The 19815-nt window shown below is 41.5% G+C and overlaps 1 protein-coding gene across 8 annotated transcripts in view; it reads left to right on the top strand.

Annotated features, from left to right (window-relative positions):
• Positions 1-19815, top strand: part of OGA (O-GlcNAcase) — a 33995-nt gene that overhangs the window by 1992 nt on the left and 12188 nt on the right. For 5 of the 8 annotated variants that reach the window (XR_007061939.1, XM_047424515.1, NM_012215.5 and 2 more), the window contains exons 2-10: positions 2847-2898; positions 3326-3423; positions 6139-6269; positions 8552-8723; positions 10310-10408; positions 12434-12718; positions 16053-16211; positions 16998-17611; positions 18299-18473. Coding sequence is in view for 7 of the 8 variants with exons in the window: in XM_047424515.1 (XP_047280471.1) it covers positions 2847-2898; positions 3326-3423; positions 6139-6269; positions 8552-8723; positions 10310-10408; positions 12434-12718; positions 16053-16211; positions 16998-17611; positions 18299-18473 (1785 nt within the window). In the remaining variant the exon portion in view is untranslated. Of the gene's footprint in view, positions 1-500; positions 689-2846; positions 2899-3325; positions 3424-4146; positions 4206-6138; positions 6270-8551; positions 8724-10309; positions 10409-12433; positions 12719-16052; positions 16212-16997; positions 17612-18298; positions 18474-19815 lie in introns of those variants that run through there. The other 3 variants (XM_047424514.1, NM_001142434.2, XM_047424516.1) reach the window with 3 other exon arrangements.

Here is a 19815-nt window from a genome sequence, read left to right as displayed (position 1 = left end):
GAAAACTCATTTGGTTTAAATTCGTTTGTTTAGAATAGCATTAAAAGGCGATTCTTCCTATTTAAAGAACAGAGTTGTCTGCCATTCTCTCGTTTATTCCTCCTCCCTCCCGTGCCCTTGTATATTTTCTTAGTGACTGAGCACCTGAGCCAGCACTGATTTTTTGTGTGTTTTGTTGTTTTTGTTTTGGGAGACGGAGTCTCGCTCTGTCGCCCAGGCTGGAGTGCAGTGGCGTGATCGCGGCTCACTGCAACCTCCGCCTCCCGGGTTCGAGCAATTCTCCTCCCTCACCCTCCCAAGTAGCTGGGACTGCAGACACGGGCCCGGCTAATTTTTTGTATTTTAGTAGAAACGGGTTTCACCGTGTTGCCCAGGCAGGTTTCCACCTACGGAGCTCAGGCAGTCCGCCCGCCTCGGTCTTCCAAAGTGCTAAGATTACAGGCGTGAACTACCGCGCCTGGCTTTTTTTTTTTTTTTTTTTTTTTTTTTCTCTCTTTTTGATACCTCTTGGTTGGCACCAGCCGTAAAATGAATGAGCATAGAAATACTATAGTTACTGCTAGGATTTCTTTTTTGTTTTCTTTCCATCACAAAACTCTCTTGGTTTTTAACTTACATTAACAGCATTGCTTCCTCTTTGTGGTGCCAGTCAACCGAAACCATGAACCTGACTCTCAAAAGAGCCAAGGTAGGGTTTCTAAAGATTAAAATGTTTAATTAAGCTAGACATTTGAAAAGTCTTTTTTTATATTGGAGCAACTCTGAAAGGATGTTTAATGCCTACTCCTTAAAAAAAAAATGATAATGCTAAGTGCCGTAGGGATGCTAAAGACTTGTATAGGTCTGCCTGATCAAGAATATTTTATATTGGCCGGGCGCGGTGGCTCACGCCTGTAATCCCAGCACTTTGGGAGGCCGAGGCGGGCGGATCACGAGGTCAGGAGATCGATACTAGCCTGGCCAACATGGCGAAACCCTGTCTCTACTAAAAATAGAAAAAATTAGCCGGGCGTGGTGGCGGGCTCCTGTAATCCCAACTACTCGGGAGGCTGAGACAGGAGAATCGCTTGAACCCGGGAGTTGGAGGCGTAGATTGCATTGAGCCGAGATAGTGCCACTGCACTCCAGCCTGGGCGACAGAGTGAGATTCCGCCTGAGAAAAAAAAAAAAGAATATTTTGTATCACTTGTGAGAGGCTAACATTAGATTGTCCAGATGAAAGTGCTACAGTTATACATTGGTATGTAATGAATTTTAATTTGGTCTGTCATTGTCCTTTTTGTGGTGCAGAGGAGTCATTCTGCCTAGAGATTGGAGCTAAAATACATTGCAGAAATTTGTTTTAGACTAGTCTCTTATGTAGATTGTGTGGGTTTATGTAGAACATTTTGTGTTCAGAATGCTTTTATTAACCTTCTTCATGGTACTCTTGAGAGGCTGTCCTTATCTCTTACTGATGATTAGACTGAGACAAGTGGAAAGTAAAGGTTAGACAAGATGTAAAGTGTGTGGTTTGAGCTGTGATGAGCACACTAGGGAGTTCCAGATACCAGTTTGATGCTTATTCAACCATTTAGGTTATCGGTCTGCGAGTTTGTTTTCTGCAGTGTGTGCATAACTAGTGTTTTGTCCTCTTAGAGGATACTCTGGGGACATTCTTGAGTTTTCTTTGTTTATTCCTTTCCGTTTAAGGACCAGAAGTAATATTCTTGAATTTTCATTTGTTCAGATCTTTGCTCTGTAATTAAGATTGCGTGAGAGTTTGTTGTTTGGGCCAGTTAGGCTGTTGAATTTCTTGGGAATGTGGTTTCAGGCATTTTTTGGTCCCTTTGATTATATCATTGTATGTGGAACTTTTTTTGAGAGAGAGAGTTTTGCTCTGTCACCTAGGCTGGAATGCAATGGCGCGGATCTTGGCTCACCGCAGCCTCCGCCTCCTGGATTCAAGCAGTTCTCCTGCCCTAGCCTCCCAAGTAACTGGAATTCCAGTCCTGGCCAGGAACTTTTTTTAAAAAAGAGGAGCACGATCATAAAATTAAGTCAGATTCTTTCCTAATCCTATCTCTGATTTGTTTTTAATTGCTTTACCTGTTTATCTCCCCTCACCCTTTTGTTGTTGTTGTTTGAGATGGAGTCTTGCTCTGTAGCCCAGGCTGTAGTGCAGTGACGCAGTCTCGGCTCACTGCAAGTCCGTCTCCCAGGTTCAAGTGATTGTTGTTTCTCAGCCTCCCAAATAGCTGGGATTACAGGCATTTGCCACCATACCTGGCTAATTTTTGTATTTTTAGTAGAGACATGGTTTCACCATGTTGGCCAGGCTGGGTCTGGAACTCCTGACCTCAAGTGATCTACCTGCCTCAGCCTCCCAAAGTGCTGGGATTACAGGCGTGGGTCACCTCACCCGGCCTCCCCTCACCCTTTCTAAAGCAGTTTTACTATCATTCTAGGAAGTAATTGTTACTGTTGGCAGCTTGTATTACATTGCTGCCGTTCCCCATTATAAGATTGAGATCTCTTAAAAAATTGGAATTAAATATATTTGGACTTTATCAACAGTGGAAAGATGATAGATGTTTGTTTTAAAATAACTATCACCTAAGTAACTAATGTCATGGTAGAAAAAATAAAAAAAATTACCTAAGCAAAAATGGAATAAAAGTCACCTTGTAACGTCACCACCCAAAGATTAAAGGAACCTTAGTATTTTATTAAATATCCTTCCGATTTGGTGTATTTTATGCTTTTTACAAAATAGGATTGTATTATATGTTTTGTAACTTGCTTTTCTCAATAAAGCTTACCACATTTTAAAACTGAATATAATTTCATTCTTACTTTGAATCTAGGATTTTATGGAAGACCTTGGGTTATGGAACAGAGAAAAGAACTCTTTAGAAGGTAAATCTTCATTATATGAAGGAGAGAGGAGAACCTTAAACTCTTAACATTTTCTTTTGTTTGAAGAAATACTAACAGTGAATAGCCCAGGTGCATTTTGATGGTTTCTCAATTGCAGAAGTTATTTTACCTTGGTCCCTTTTTTCTTCACCTAGGCCTTTGATTTTCAAACTTTTCCTGGGGAGCTGAATAAGTTTTGGGCTTCACCTTACCCAGAGCTGTTGTGTTTTTTAAGAGTGTTTTGTATGTTGGCATACATTGTAATACTTAATTTTTTTAAATTCCACTGATTACAAAAAGGTTAAAAGCTACTGTCATAGAATATTAGCTTTGTATGAGATGGAGATGCTCCAAGAAGAGGGAAATGGAGATTGACAGCCTATGAATGTTGCCTGTTTATACATATGTAATTTTCTTTCTCCTTAAGGCTCCAGAAATGGGAATTAAATACATACTTGTATGCCCCAAAAGATGACTACAAACATAGGATGTTTTGGCGAGAGATGTATTCAGTGGAGGAAGCTGGTAATCTTTTTCTTTTTATCCATAAATTCAAAATCTGTGAAGAAAACGGTTATATTTTAAATGTAGTTGTACAAGAATTTTATGACATTTTATTTTTATTTTGTAGGTAGTTTCCTTTTCTTCTATCTGGTAACTATTCAGTTAGCTGAGATTGAAAGAGTGCTCTGCGCTAGCAAGGTCATGACCATATGTGTGATATCATGGGCGTGCTAGGCTGACTCCATCTGTTCTGTGGTCATAGATTGTGCTGCTTACTTCTGCCAGTGGATTAAACAGTGGGCCACTGGGCAAAGAAGTGCTGGAGCTGGGCTAGGCCCAGGGCAAGGCAAGTGAGGCACGTACCTTGGGTGCAAATTTTAAGGGACCCCCAAAAAGTAATCAACATAAATAATATTTTATGCAATTTTTTTAAAAAACCAAAATTAATGCAGAAATTCATGATGTACACAATGCTAAAATTTTAGGTAAAGACAGGATCAGCACTACTGATTGTTCCTTTTGCTTCAGGCTCTAGTATGGCTTGGCCTTGTCAGCAGTTACTGGTCCTTAAACCCTAGTCCAGGAAAGTGGGAAGCCATTAATAGGCTGTCTTTGGGTTTTGTTTTGTTTTGTTTTGTTTTTTGAGACAGAGTCTTGCTCTGTCCCCCAGGCTGGAGTGCAGTGGTGCGATCTCGGCTAACTGCAAACCTCGCCCTCCCGAGTTCAAGAGATTCTGCTGCCTCAGCCTCCCAAAGTGCTGGGATTACAGGCTTGAGCTCCTGTGCCCGGCCGGCCTGCTATGGGTATACTTAACGTTGAGTTGGTTACATAAAATTGATAAAAAGTAGTATAGCATTGAACCGCCAAATTAGAGAGGTGCTTTTCTTTGGGAACTTGTAAATGGTGAAACATTTTTGTACTTGAAATTAAATGGTATACGCATATAGCTAACAAGATATTTGGTTACAGAGCCCAGCCAAGGCACAGAAGGCTGAAAGTTTTCTTGAATTACAAAGAAGCAATTACAGCTTACCCCATCTCCATCTAGTGTTGTGGTTTACTACTCTATTTAAGTGTGCCTTCAACTTAATTACTTTCTGGTGGTGCTGGTAATGAAACTTAATGTGATCAATAATCAAAATAGAGTAAAAATGACTATCTTGAGATACTACTGAAAATTATTCAAAAATATGTCTTATAGTATATACTAGTAGTAGTTAAGTTGATTTAGGAAAATTGTCAATTGATAATTTTAAAAGGTTAAAATCTATAATTAATGTTTTTCCCATAGATAGAAACAGGTCAAGATTGTTAAGGCCATGACTTAACTCTGGTTCTTTTTCTTTTTCTTTTTTTGGAGACAGCGTTTGTCACTTTGTTACCCAGGCTGGAGTGCAGTGACTCACTGCAATTTTGATCTCCCCGGCTCAAGCAATCCTCCCGCCTCAGTCCCCCAAGTAGCTGGGACTACAAGCGCGGGTCACCACACCCAGCTAATTTTTGTATATTTTGTAGAGAGAGGGGTTTGCCATGTTGCCTGTGCTGGTCTCAAACTCCTGAACTCAAGCAGTCAACTTGCCGTGGCCTCTCAAAGTGCTGGGATTACAGGTGTGATTCATTTTTTTTTTTTTTTTTTTTTTTTTTCATTTTTTTTCATTTTTTGAGATGGAGTCTTGCTGTGTCGTCCAGACTGGGGTGCAGTGGTGCGATCTTGGCTCACTGCAACCTCTGCCTCCAGGGTTCAAGCAATTCTCCTGCCTCAGCCTCCCTAGTAGTTGGGATTACAAGTATGCGCCACCACGCCTGGCTAATTTTTGTATTTTTAGTAGAGATGGGGTTTCACAATGTTGACCAGGCTGGTCTCAAACTCCTGACCTCAGGCAGTCCTCCTGCCTGGCCTCCCAAAGTCCTGGGGTTACAGGCATGAGCCATTGGGCCTGGCCTACCCTGATTCTTAAGAAAGCATTTTCTTTCTTTCATATTATAAAGTAGTTATGTGTAGGTTTATTTAGTTAGGAATTCCAGCTGTTCAGAGATGGCAAAACAAAAAAAAAAAGCAAGATCCAGTACCATGGCTCATGCCTGCAATCCCAACACTGTAAGAGGCTAAGGCAGGCGGATCACTTGAGGCCAGGAGTTCGAGACCAGCCTGGGCAATATGGCAAAACCCTCATCTCTACTAAACAAAAATTAGCCGGGTATGCCTGTAATCCCACCTACTCAGGAGGTGGAGGTTGCAGTGAGTCAGGATCGTGCCACTGCACTCCAGCCTTGGGCAACAGAGCAAGGCTCTCAAAATAAAAAAGCAGCGGCTGCATTTTATGCCTTTCAAATGCTGCAGGAAATAGAAATGGCTTAAGTTCAGTAAGAGAATTGACAATTCAGTGTTTTTGAGAAGTGGCAATGAAAGGGAGGAAAATGTTTATTGATTTTAGCCTGTTTCCCCAAAAGGATAAGAAACTATTTGGAAGTGAAAAAGAAGGGCCTCTTATTTTCTGTTGGTTCAGATTTCAAAGGTGTGAAAACTATTCTTTTTCCCTTACTGTGACATTAAATCACTTCAGGCTTGTACCATTTTGTATGGCCTGTTGTTAAGTTGGACATGACAATTTGTAAAATGTGAGGATCTTTTCCTTTCTTGTAAGTTAGAAGAAATAACCTCTTCAGTTAAACCTTCAGTGAAGGTTCTTTTAGTTTTCTGTTCTGCTTTCTAAAAACATAGACTCTGTTCTTTAGAGCAACTTATGACTCTCATCTCTGCTGCACGAGAATATGAGATAGAGTTCATCTATGCGATCTCACCTGGATTGGATATCACTTTTTCTAACCCCAAGGAAGTATCCACATTGAAACGTAAATTGGACCAGGTAACTCCTTACTTTTTATTCATTTTTCCTGACTATGTACTTGAAACTAGAAGTTTACTCAGTTGCTTTTACGATGTTAAAAGGAAATCAAATTCCTATTTCTTTGTTTTCTTTTTTTGTTTGTTTGTTTTGTTTTTTGAGACAGAGTCTTGCTCTGTCGCCCAGACTGGAGTGCAGTGGCACAATCTCGGCTCACTGCAACCTCCTCCGCCTCCCGGGTTCAAGTGATTCTCCTGCCTCAGCTTCCCGAGTAGCTGGGACTATAGGTGCGTGCCATCATGCCTGGCTAATTTTTGTATTTTTAGTAGAGACAGGGCCTTCACCATGCCAGCCAGGCTGGTCTCGAACTGCTCACCTCATGATCTTCCCAAAGTGCTGGGATTACAGGTGTGAGTCACCATGCCTGGTTTTTTATTTCTTTGTTTCTATAAGAATTTTTTTTACTTTGAATGCTTTTTTTTTCTTTTTTTTTTTTTTTGAGACAGAGTCTTGCCCTGTTGCCTGGAGTGCAGTGGCCCAATCTCGGCTCACTGCAACCTCCACCTCCCAAGTTCAAGCGATTCTCATGCCTCAGCCTCCTGAGTAGCTGTTACAGGCACACCACCATGCCTGGCTAATTTTTATATTTTTAGTAGAGACAGGGTTTTGCCACGTTGGCCAGGCTGGTCTCGAACTCCTGACTTTAGGTGATTCACCCACTTCAGCCTCCCAGAGTGCCGGGATTACAGTCGTGCGCCAGTGCACCCAGCCTTGAATCCTTCTGATAGAGGAATATTTTCCAAATTAAGTAAAAAGAGCTTTACTGGAGGTACTAGTTCTTCTCAAATTTCAGTTTGCATAAGAACTGCCTTAAAAGAATGATTAGAAGTGAAGCTTGGAAGAATGCTGACTGCTGGACTTTATTTCCCAAATGGATAAGGTGGGGACCGGGAATCTAGGTGATTGGTGGTCAAGAACCACATTTTGAGAAATTATATATACCCTAGGCTGCTTGGCTTGAATTTACACCTGAGATTACAGAAACAGGGTTTTACCTATTAGACATTAGTTTCTTCAATTATATGGACGAAGAGATGTCTGGAAATGGCTAGTTTCCCAAGATGAGAAGAAAAACAGACTAGGTGAACCTAATTGAGTGTAAAGTCTGCTTAATGTAAAAGCTGCAGACTTCCTTTGGTCCAATGTAGGGGGCTTCCATTTTCCTTTTTTTTTTTGAAACTGAGTCTTGCTCTGTCGCCCAGGCTGGAGTGCAGTGGCGCGATCTCAGCTCATTGCAACCTCTACCTCCTGGGTTCAAGCAATTCTCTGGCCTCAGCCTCCTGAGTAACGGGGATTACAGGCATGTGCTACCACACCTGGCTAATTTTTTTGTATTTTTAGTAGAGATGGGGTTTCACCATGTTTGCCAGGCTGGTCTCGAACTCCTAACCTCATGGTTTGCCCGCCTCGGCCTCCCAAAGTGCTGGGATTACAAGTGTGAGCCACTGCGCCCGGCCCCATTTTTCTGTTATTTTAGTTTGCTGGTTTTTCTATATACATGTCTTATTTCTTTAGGCAAAGATTTATATGGGTGGCATTAAAATGTCTGGTAAAAAATTTAAGGCAGTTGAAATTTTCATGAATGAAGTTATTTTACTATTTGATAAAATTCTATTCTTTCTGATTCATACCTGGTTAGGTTTATCTGCAAAGGGATCAGTGTGCCTTTTGGGACTAGGACACAGCCTGGCTTTTTCATGTCTTAAGGTTACTTACTCATGTTTCTGTATTTTTCTGACTTTGTTGGGTCTTCTACAATCAGCAGCAGCCCATGAGGACTAGGAGGCTAGGCCACTTTGTTGGATCATATTGTCATATAAGTTGAGTATCCCTAATTCAGAAATCTGAAATGTTCCAAAATATGAAACTCTTTGAGCTCCATAAAATTCAAAGGAAATGCTCATTGGAGCATTTCAGATTTTGGATTTTCAGGTTAGGGATGCTGAATATAATACAGATATTCCAAAATCCAGGAAAAAACAAAAATGAAAATCCAAAACATTTTTGGTCCCAAGCATTTCAGATAAGGAATACTCAGCCTGTAGTGCATTCAAACCCAAATGAGAAATGGGTCCCAAAACTGTTTAACTTACGATTTTTTAATTGAAAATGTAAAAACAATAAATCTGTCTTTGAACATTCTAGTAAGGAAAATACTGGATTTTAAGTATAACTGTTAACGCTGTAATGTTTGGAATTCTTAATTTTTTTACTCTTGATTCTTTTTTTTTTTTTTCTCCTAGGTTTCTCAGTTTGGGTGCAGATCATTTGCTTTGCTTTTTGATGATATAGACCATAATATGTGTGCAGCAGACAAAGAGGTATTCAGTTCTTTTGCTCATGCCCAAGTCTCCATCACAAATGAAATCTATCAGTACCTAGGAGAGCCAGAAACTTTCCTCTTCTGTCCCACAGGTATTGTATATAATGGCTTTACATTTAACTAGTCTTCTTGGAATATATAACTTATAAAGGACCATGGGCCCCATTCTCTCTCCACTTCCCTCCTCCTTTGGTGTGTAAAAGTAGGAATCTTTTTTTAGAAGACATTTTTCAAGATCCTAAATTGGAGAAATTTTAGGAACTAATAAATGACAACTGACTAGGCAAAAGATTTTTATGTATTTTTAAGTACTGGAAGTATATGAACATTACATTGTCAATATTAAAAGAGGGATAGTATTGAAATGAAAACTGGAGAAAAACCAAATTACATTGCTTTTACCTTAGTCACTTCTCATTTCCTCCTACTTGTCCCCTTTTTCTGCCCATGCATATCTGTCCCTTTTTGCACTCCTCCCACTCCCATCTGGGCTCTTATTTCAAGTAGTCAGCATAGAAAGCTTAACAGTTTTTCCCGTTTTCCTTTCTTTTTGCCCCTCTGGTTTCTTTCATTGAAAATATTTTAGTCTCTTAGTTGCTTCTCAAAATTCAACTTACAGGAAGTTTTCCCCACACTTCCTTGTTCAGGAAGAATTTTAGATTAAATTATTTAACTTTCTTTGTGTGTATTGTGAGCCGAGAACCTTATTTTAGTTGAGTACTACATTAGTACCCAGAAGTTTTAAGATTATACTGGGAATTAATTAGCTGCAAGTTACAGTTTAAGTTGCAGTTGAGTACTAATAGCCATTGGTATATGCCTTTAAAAAAATTTTTTTTAAATTTTACTTTTAAGTTTGTATTATTTATTTAGAGACCGGGCTATAAAACTGGCTAATTTTTATATTTTTGGTAGAGACGGGGTTTCGCCATATTGCCCAGGCTAGTGTCGAACTCTTGGGCTCAAGTGATCCACCCGCTTCAGCCTCCCAAAATGCTGGGATTGCAGGTGTGAGCCACTGTGCCCAGCTGCCATTGGCATATTCTTGTATTAGTTCTATTATGATATTATCAATTCATTCTGTTTGGCGTTTAATTGTAACTGAGAAAAGTAGGCAATTCAGAATTCTGTAGAAAATGCTGCAGTTCTTGTTTTTTTAGTAAACTTGTATTTCTAGTAACTGTAGTATCGTAAGAATTGATCTGTACTACTGTTGGAGGAAAAATACCAGATTTTATGAATTTCTTAAATGAACTGCCCACTTTAGTTCCTTGTAGGAGGCCTTTTATCATTTAGATGAAAATAATTTAGAATTGGCAGACATTTTTTCCACATTCAAAAACCCATGGGCCTTTTGGGAGGCCAAGGCGGGCGGATTGCCTGAGCTCAGGAGTTTGCGACCAACCTGGGCAGCATGGTGAAACCCCATCTCTACTAAAATACAAAAAAAAATTAGCCGGGCGTGGCGGCGTGCGCCTGTAGTCCCAGCTGCTTGGGAGGCTGAGGCAGGAGAATTGCTTGAGCCCAGGAGGCAGAGGTTGCAGTGAGCCGAGATCGTGCCACTGCACTCTAGCCTGGGCATCAAGAGTGAGACTCCGTCTCAAAGAAAACAAACAAACAAAGAGAAAACCCATGAGCATTTTAATTCTGACTTTTTTACTTTTCTCCCTACATTTAGAATACTGTGGCACTTTCTGTTATCCAAATGTGTCTCAGTCTCCATATTTAAGGACTGTGGGTGAAAAGCTTCTACCTGGAATTGAAGTGCTTTGGACAGGTAAGTCTTTTAAGATTTATACAGTCAAAGTTGAATTAAGTAGGACTTGCAGAAATTGCTTGTTCTTGTTAATTGAATACTTTTTTTTTTGAGACGGAGTCTCACTCTGTCGCCCAGGATGGAGTCCAGTGGCATGATCTCGGCTCACTGCACGCTCCGCCTCCCAGGTTCACACCATTCTCCTGCCTCAGCCTCCCGAGTAGCTGGGACTACAGGCACCCGCCACCACGCCTGGCTAATTTTTTGTATTTTTAGTAGAGACAGGGTTTCACCATGTTAGCCAGGATGGTCTCGATCTCCTGACCTCGTGATCCACCCGCCTTGGCCTCCCAAAGTGCTGGGATTACAGGCGTGAGCCACCACGCCTGGCCTTTTTTTTTTTTTTTTTTGAGACAGAGCATTGCTCTTGTTGCCCAGGCTGGAGTGCAGTGGCACAATCTCAGCTCCCTGCAAACTCTGCCTCCCGGGTTCAAGCAATTCTCCTGACTCAGCCTCCCAAGTAGCTGGGATTACAGGCACACGCCACCACACCCAGCTAATTTTTGTATTTCTAGTAGAGACGGGGTTTCTCCATGTTAGCCAGGCTGGTCTCAAACTCCCGACCTCAGGTGATCTGCCCACTTCGGCCTCCCAAAGTGCTGGGATTACACATGTGACCCACTGCACCTGGCCCAGAGAACTTGTTAAAATACGCTTTCTTTTACAAAGTTTACATATTCTCTTAATATGAAAAAACATCTATCATGGTTGGGGAGCCTGAGTGGGGAGCCTGAGGTGGAAGCCCCCAGGAGTTCAAGACCAGCTTAGACAACATAGAGAGACTGTAGAAAAAATAAAAAACTTAGCCAGGTGGGCTGGTGCACACCTGTAGTCCCAGCTACTTAGGGGGCTGAGGTGGAAGGATCACTTGAGCCCGGGAGGTAGAGGCTGCAGTGAGCTGTGATCATGCCACTGCACTCCAGCCTGAGCAACAGAATGAGACCCTGTCTCAAAAAAAATTCAGTTAATAAATAATAAAGATTTATAGGGAATTGGGCTAAAAGGTATTGATCCCATCCTTAAGCAGCGTTAGGAAACTCTTCTATTTTATAAAACGAAAAAAATAAAGCTCAGTAAAAGACATGTTGTGTTTTCAAAAGAAAAATTGTGGCTGGGTGCATTGGTTCGTGCCTGTAATCCCAGTGCTGTGGGAGGCTTGAGTTGAGGTAGGAGGATCGCTTGAGGCCAGGAGTTTAAGATTAGCCTGGGCAACATAGCAAGCCCTTATCTGTACAAAAAAATTTTAAATTACTGTGACATGGTGGGGCACACCTGTAGTCCCAGCTACTTGGGAGGCTGAGGTGAGAGGATTGCTTGAGCTCAGGAGCTCAAGGCTGCAGTGAGCCATGATTACTCCATTGCACTTCAGCCTGGGTAACAGAGGAGACCCTGTCTCAGAAAAAGAAACGTTGTTATAAAATGTACATGTAAGGGGCCAGGCGCAGTGGCTCACGCCTGTAATCCCAGCACTTTGGGAGGCCGAGGCAGGCGGATCACAGGGTGAGGAGATCGAGACCATCCTGGCTAACACAGTGAAACCCCATCTCTACTAAAAAATACAAAAAATTAGCCAGGCGTGGTGGAGGGCGCCTGTAGTCCCAGCTACTCAGGAGGCTGAAGCAGGAGAATGGTGTGAATCCAGGAGGCGGAGCTTACAGTGAGCCGAGATCACACCACTGTACTCCAGCCTGGGCGACACAGCGAGACTCTGTCTCAAAAAAAAAAAAAAAAAAGTACACGTAAGGAAAACAATAAAAAGTTATATATGCAGTATATTTTAAAGAACCATGATTCTTTTTTTTAAATATATTTTTTAATTTAAAATAAAAAGATAGGGTCTCGCTGTGTTGCCCAGGCTGGTCCGAACTCCTGGGCTCAAATGATCTGCCCACCTCTGCCTCCCAGAGTGCTGGGATTACAGTTATGAGCCAATGCGTCTAGCCAAGAACCATGATTCTTTTAACGAACGGTTGTCGTTATTTCTAGGTCCCAAAGTTGTTTCTAAAGAAATTCCAGTAGAGTCCATCGAAGAGGTTTCTAAGATTATTAAGAGAGCTCCAGTAATCTGGGATAACATTCATGCTAATGATTATGATCAGAAGAGACTGTTTCTGGGCCCGTACAAAGGAAGATCCACAGAACTCATCCCACGGTTAAAAGGAGTCCTCACTAATCCAAATTGTGAATTTGAAGCCAACTACGTTGCTATCCACACCCTTGCCACCTGGTACAAATCAAACATGAATGGAGTGAGAAAAGATGTAGTGATGAGTAAGTAGCCTGTACTTGATCTTTCACCTTGGGAGGAGAGCTGGGGTTAACTAGAGCCAGTGGAAAGTATGCATTCCTTTGTCATCACAACTTAAACAGTTTTATTTATTTTTTTAAAAACGTATTTTGTTTTACTAAGGAGGAAACAAAACCAAGTGGTTTTATTATGGTATGTTGTTTCATTCTGTTGATGAAGATGTATATGATAGAAGAAAGGTTGAGTGTCTTTGGACAAGTCACTTAACCTCTTTGCCTTAGTTTTTTTTTTTTTGTTTTTTTTTTTTTTAGTATGATTCAGAAGCAGCGTGGTGGCTCGCTTATAATCCCAGGAAATGCACTCCAGCCTGGACAACAGATGAAAATCCTATGAAATAAATAAAAATAAAATATGGTTCAGTCTTTGAAGTCTGAGTACTAGAGGAGACAGTCTTTTAAGTGTTTCCATTATCTCTAGAATCATTCGGATAAAATGTATTTTCAGGCAATTTTATTGAAAAGGATATTTTAGATAACTAGATACTCTTGAGTCACTTAGATCATTTAGATTCAGCTTACATTTATCTTTTATGGAACATACTCTTTTTTTTTTTTTTTGAGATGGAGTTTTGCTCCATCGCCCAGGCTGGAGTGCAGTGGCGCAATCTCAGCTCGCTGCAACCTCTGCTTCCCAGGTTCAAGCGATTCTCCAGCCTCAGCCTCCCGAGTAGCTGGGATTGCAGGCACACCCGGCTTTTTTTTTTTTTTTTTTTTTTTTTTAAAGTAGAGACAGGGTTTCACCATCTTGGCCAGACTGGTCTCGAACTCCTGACCTTAGGTGATCCACCTGCCTCGGCCTCCCAGAGTGCTGGGATTACAGGCATGAGCCACCCTGCCTGGCCGAATGGAATACAGTCTTATTTTAGACATTGGCTTACTAATTTTTAATTTATGAAAAATCTCTAATTAATAGAGTTCTAAGTAAGGTGCTTGATAATTATTTACATTTAAATAATCTGTCATGGGGCAGATGCATGTTCATGGGCACTGAGGGGGCAAAGAATAAAGTAGTTTTTTTTTTTTCTTTTTGAGATGGAGTCTTGCTCTTGTTGCCCAGGCTGGAGTGCAGTGGCGCAATCTCAGCTCCCTGCAACCTCCGCCTCCCAGGTTCAAGTGATTCTCCTGTCTCAGCCTCCCGAGTAGCTGGGATTACAGGCATGCGCCACCATGCCTGGCTAATTTTGTATTTTTAGTAGAGACGGGGTTTCTCCATGTCAGGCTGGTCTTGAACTCCTGACCTCAGGTGATCCGCCCTCCTGGGCTTCCCAAAGTGCTGGGATTACAGGCGTGAGCCATCGCGCCCAGCCATTCCTACTTTTGAGAAACAGTCTAGTGTTGGGTAAGGCTTATAGGCAATTGTACTATAGTGTGATAAGTGTTGTAATAGTTTAATTTATAAAGTGCTGTGTGAACACGGGAGAGAGTGATTATTTTTGCTAAGAGATTTCACAGACTTTTAAGCTGGATCAAAGTATGAGGAGAGTTTGCTGGGCGTTAAAGGTTTGTGGGCTGGAGGTTAAAAACACTGAACACTGAAAATTTTTTTTTTTCTTTGAGACAGAGCCTCGCTCTGTTGCCCAGGCTGGAGTGCAGTGGCGCGATCTTGGCTCATTGCAACCTCTGCCTCCCTGGTTCAAGCGAGTCTCTGGCCTCAGCCTCCTGAGTAGCTGGGATTACTGGCGCACACCACCCCATCTGGCTGATTTTTATAGTTTTAGTAGAGACAGGGTTTCACCATGTTGGTCAGGCTGGTCTCGAACTCCTGACCTGGTGATCTGCCTGCCTCTGCCTCCCAGAGTTCTGGGATTACAGGCGTGAGCCACTGTGCCCAGCCTGAACACTGAACTTTTGAAGTTCCCTGAATTTTGGCCCATTTTGGCTACTGAAGTGTCATGATAGTATGTAGTAATATTAATAGTTGTCATCTGTTTCTCAATTCCATACCTCTGCTTTGAATTGTTTATTGAATTAATGTCTCCCTTTTGTTTGGCTCAGTCATTGTCATCCTCCTCCCCTCAATAAAAAACAAATTGGGAATATAATTTAAATGCTGTCAGCGTACATGGCACTTAACTCCTACATCTTTTAAGGCACAGCAAGGAACATACTAAGGGTGGCAGACACTATCCAAACCTGGGACATACGTAGGAAATATTAAGGAAAGCTAAGAATAGAGAGTTTTTAAGTACAAAATCAAAAAATTCAGACTTAATTTTCTCTACCACTATCCTGGCTCAGAGCTTTGTTGCCTTATGTGTGCTAATTTGTGGGTCTCTGTCGATTATCTCTTTTTTTTTTTTTTTTCTGAGACGGAGTCTTGCTCTTGTTGCTCAGGCTGGAGTGCAATGGCCCGATCTCAGCTCACTGCAACCTTTGACACCTGGGTTCAAGCAGTTCTCCTGCCTCAGCCTCCCGAGTAGCTGGGATTACAGGTGCCTGCCACCACGTCTGGCTAATTTTTTGTATTTTTAGTAGAGATGGGGTTTTACCATGTTGGCCAGGCTAGTCTCAAACTGCAGACCTCAGGTGATTTGCCCGCCTCAGCCTCCCAAAGTGCTGAGATTACAGGCATGAGCCACCATGCCTGGCCTCTTCTTTTTCCCTCAGCGCCTTTATTAATGAAGTTACAGTCGGTTGTAGTGGCTCACGCTTGTAATCTCAGCACTTTGGGAGGCCCAGGTGGGCAGATCACAAGGTCGAGTTCGAGACCAGTCTGGCCAACATGGTGAAACCCCATCTTCACGAATAATAGAAAAATTAGCTGGGCATGGTGGCATGCGCCTGTAGTCCCAGCTACTGGGGAGGCTCAGGTGGGAGAATTGCTTGAACCTGTGAGGCGGAGGTTGTAGTGAGCCAAGATCCTGCCACTGCACTCCAGCCTGGGTGATGGGGTGAGACTCCATCTCAAAAAAAAAAAAAAAAAAAAAGAAGTTACAAGGCCCTGAAGGCTATGCAATGTTTTCTTCATACGAAAAGCATGGTACTTTTGACCTTGACTTCCCAACAATTAGTACTCAGTAGACGGTTAAGATTGACTCTTCCACTGATACTAAAATTTATATTTCTTATTTCAATTGAGATTTTACATTTAACATTACGTTTAGGTTACTATCCTATATGAAGTGGTTTGGTGAAGGGTCTTGCTTTTATTTGAATTTTTATGTTTAAGGTTTGTTCTCATTCTGTTCTTTGTTTCTGTGGTTATACTGTGAAAACTAGTTGCATTTATTCTTCTCACTTGTCAGAAGGCTTTTGTAATCAAAACTATTTTTGTGCTTTTTTATTTTATTTTTTGCAGCTGACAGTGAAGATAGTACTGTGTCCATCCAGATAAAATTAGAAAATGAAGGCAGTGATGAAGATATTGAAACTGATGTACTCTATAGTCCACAGATGGCTCTAAAGCTAGCATTAACAGAATGGTTGCAAGAGTTTGGTGTGCCTCATCAATACAGCAGTGAGTTTGGCCATTCTTTGTTAAGGGGGTTAGATCACATAGTTGAGTCACAAAGTAAAGAACACTGTCTCCCGGGTGTGGTGGCTCACACCTGTAATCTCAGCACTTTGGGAGGCCGAGGCAGGCGGATCACCTGAGGTCAGGAGTTCGAGACCAGCCTGGCCAACATAGTGAAACCTTGTCCCTACTAAAAATACAAAGATTAGCCGGGCGTGGTGGCATGCGCCTGTCGTCCCACCTACTTGGGAGGCTGAGGCAGGACAGTCGCCTCAACCTGGGAGGCAGAGGTTGCAGTGAGCCAAGATTGAGCCACTGTACTCCAGCCTGGGTGACAGAGCGAGACTCTGTCTCAAAAAAAAGAACACTGTCATGTGCCTTACCTTATGCCCACTAAGCAAAGTGAAATTAAATGAAATTGGGGGATCTAGAGAATAAGGATTTTTAAATCTTACTTTTGGTCTTAAATATTAGCTTTTATTTTGATGGAATGCTAATTTCTCTTAAAAACATATTTTTTGAAGTAATTTAAGGGTTTTTAGACACAAATTTTCAAAAGAGAATGTAATAGTAGATGTTGGCATGTTTACCTCCCAACGCCCTTCCATTCCTGCATCCCTAGTAGTATAGAGAAATCTCATTTTTCTTAGAGGTCAAATTAATTTGGATCTAAAATTGAGGTTCCACTTAACAAATATGATAAAGCATCTTTCTGAATCTAATGTGTTCTATCTCTAATTCTGATTATCTGTGTGACCATTTTATTTATACATTTATTTATTTTTGTAGGTAGGCAAGTTGCACACAGTGGAGCTAAAGCAAGTGTAGTTGATGGGACTCCTTTAGTTGCAGCACCCTCTTTAAATGCCACAACCGTAGTAACAACAGTTTATCAGGAGCCCATTATGAGCCAGGGAGCAGCCTTGAGTGGTGAGCCTACTACTCTGACCAAGGAAGAAGAAAAGAAACAGCCTGATGAAGAACCCATGGACATGGTGGTGGAAAAACAAGAAGAAACGGACCACAAGAATGACAATCAAATACTGAGTGAAATTGTTGAAGCGAAAATGGCAGAGGAATTGAAACCAATGGACACTGATAAAGAGAGCATAGCTGAATCAAAATCCCCAGAGATGTCCATGCAAGAAGATTGTATTAGTGACATTGCCCCCATGCAAACTGATGAACAGACAAACAAGGAGCAGTTTGTGCCAGGTCCAAATGAAAAGCCTTTGTACACTGCGGAACCAGTGACCCTGGAGGATTTGCAGTTACTTGCTGATCTATTCTACCTTCCTTACGAGCATGGACCCAAAGGAGCACAGATGTTACGGGAATTTCAATGGCTTCGAGCAAATAGTAGTGTTGTCAGTGTCAATTGCAAAGGAAAAGACTCTGAAAAAGTGAGTATGTTTAATGTACCTGCTGCTGAAGCCTGGGTGGTTCCCCATACTGGTAATGTGGAAAAGGTTCTTAAATGAGTACACTGTAACTGACAGAAAATTGACCATGTTTTAGAATATGTTCTTTAGGCCGGTTATGATGGCTCATGCCTGTAGTCCCAGAACTTTGGGAGGCAGAGGCGGGCAGATCACCTGAGGTCAGGAGTTTGAGATCAGCCTGGCCAACATGGTGAAACCCCATCTGTACTAAAAATACAAAAATTAGCCGGGCATGGTGACGGGCACCTGTAATCCCAGCTACTCAGGAGGCTGAGGCAGGAGAATCGCTTGAAGAACCCGGGAGGCGGAGTTTGCAGTGAGCTGAGATCGTGCCATTGTACTCCAGCCTGGGTGACGAGAGGGAAACTGTCTCAAAAAAAAAAAAAAAAAAAAAGTATGTTCTTTACAGTGGATGTGGACTCTACTAAATCTGGTACCTTCAGTTTCATAGTTTGCCCTTCTAGTTAAGAATGAGGAAAGGTCATTATTTTAGGAATATTTGTCAGTTTGGGGAGACACAAAATGATACTTTAATGGTTAAGATAAATTGCCAGTACCTGACAACATAAGCAGCTTAATGTGTAACTGTGTCTCAGATTATTTTGTTAAGCTTACAGTTTTTTGAGTCTTTTTATTGATCTTCAATAGATTGAAGAATGGCGGTCACGAGCAGCCAAGTTTGAAGAGATGTGTGGACTAGTGATGGGAATGTTCACTCGGCTCTCCAATTGTGCCAACAGGACAATTCTTTATGACATGTACTCCTATGTTTGGGATATCAAGAGTATAATGTCTATGGTGAAGTCTTTTGTACAGTGGTTAGGTAGGTGCACCAGGAATAATCTCTTCTCCTCAAATATATTGTCCCTTTAAAAAAAATTATCCCACAGGGAGAAAAACATTTAGGGAATTGGCACATTTCCAAGTCTCTTCAATTCGTTGCCTAGGTTTCTTTCAAAAATAGGCATTATTGAAGACTTGAGATGCAAGTCTTAGTAAATACATCAAGCACATTAATTTTTCTCCCTTGGGCTAATTCAGCATAAGTATCTTAAAAGTATGTTAGAAAGTACTGACTTTAACTTGCTCTGACTGAATGCTTTCTGGATGGAACCCTGTATACCACTTTTATCTGATTTGGAGATGAGACACTATGAAATGTGACTCCACAAGCTTTCTGCTGCTTGCTGTGTCTTGATAACATTAATGCTATGTTTAACAGAACAATTGCTGAAATGACCTAAAGGGCCTGGCAAGAGGAAGCCATCCTCCCAGCCCTGTGCGCATGCGAGCTTTAGTGTAAGGCTATTCTGGTGCTATTCAGTATTATTTCACGTGGCTTTTTCTTTATCCTTCTACCAAGTATTGGTTTTACCAGGGGATAGAAATTGTAATCCCCTAAACATCTCTGCTACATTAAATGGACTTTTGTATGTCTCCTTTGAACACTGATTTTTTTTTTTTAAATTGTCAAACTTGGTAAAAAGCACCAGCATGGCCAAGTTTCTCTAGGGACTTCATTTCATTTTCAGGTTTTCAATCCAGCTATAAGGAATATGTAATGGACTTATATACAGCACACAGCAGGCAGCAAGGCTGACTGACATGTCATAGTTTTCATAGTAGTCACAAATACTATGATGGGTTTCATGGTCTTGGTTGTGAAATAGATATCTGAAACACCGTGAGCTTAGAATAAAAAGTAGTAGTGAGATTTTCCACTTTCTGCCTGTATACCTTTGAGCTCTTAAATATTTAAAAAAAAAAAAAAAAAGTTTCCCTGTGATACAACTAATTAGCTACTAAAAGTAGAGTCTCAGATTGTTAATTTGAAAATAGATAACTTTTTTTGGATTGCTGTAATAACAGGTAGAAGAGAGTATTTTGACCTCATGTTAAAAGGCTCTGTATAGCTTCGGGCGCGGTTGCTCACCCCTGTAATCCCAGCGCTCTTGGTGGCTGAGGTGGGTGGATCACTTGAGATCAGGAGTTCGAGACCAGCCTGGTGAAAACCAGCATGAGACCAGCATGGTGAAACCCTATCTCTACTAAAAAAATACAAAAATTAGCCAGGCGTGGTGGCGCATGCCTGTAATCCCAGCTACTTGAGAGGCTGAGGCAGGAGAATTGCTTGAACTCAGGAGGCAGAGGTTGCAGTGAGCTGA

The sequence above is a fragment of the Homo sapiens genome, chromosome 10, assembly GCF_000001405.40.
Source record: "Homo sapiens chromosome 10, GRCh38.p14 Primary Assembly".
In the NCBI taxonomy this organism is placed as follows: domain Eukaryota; kingdom Metazoa; phylum Chordata; class Mammalia; order Primates; family Hominidae; genus Homo; species Homo sapiens.
The sequence above is the reverse complement of the archived record's forward strand: the minus strand, read 5'-3'. Positions and strand labels throughout refer to the sequence as shown.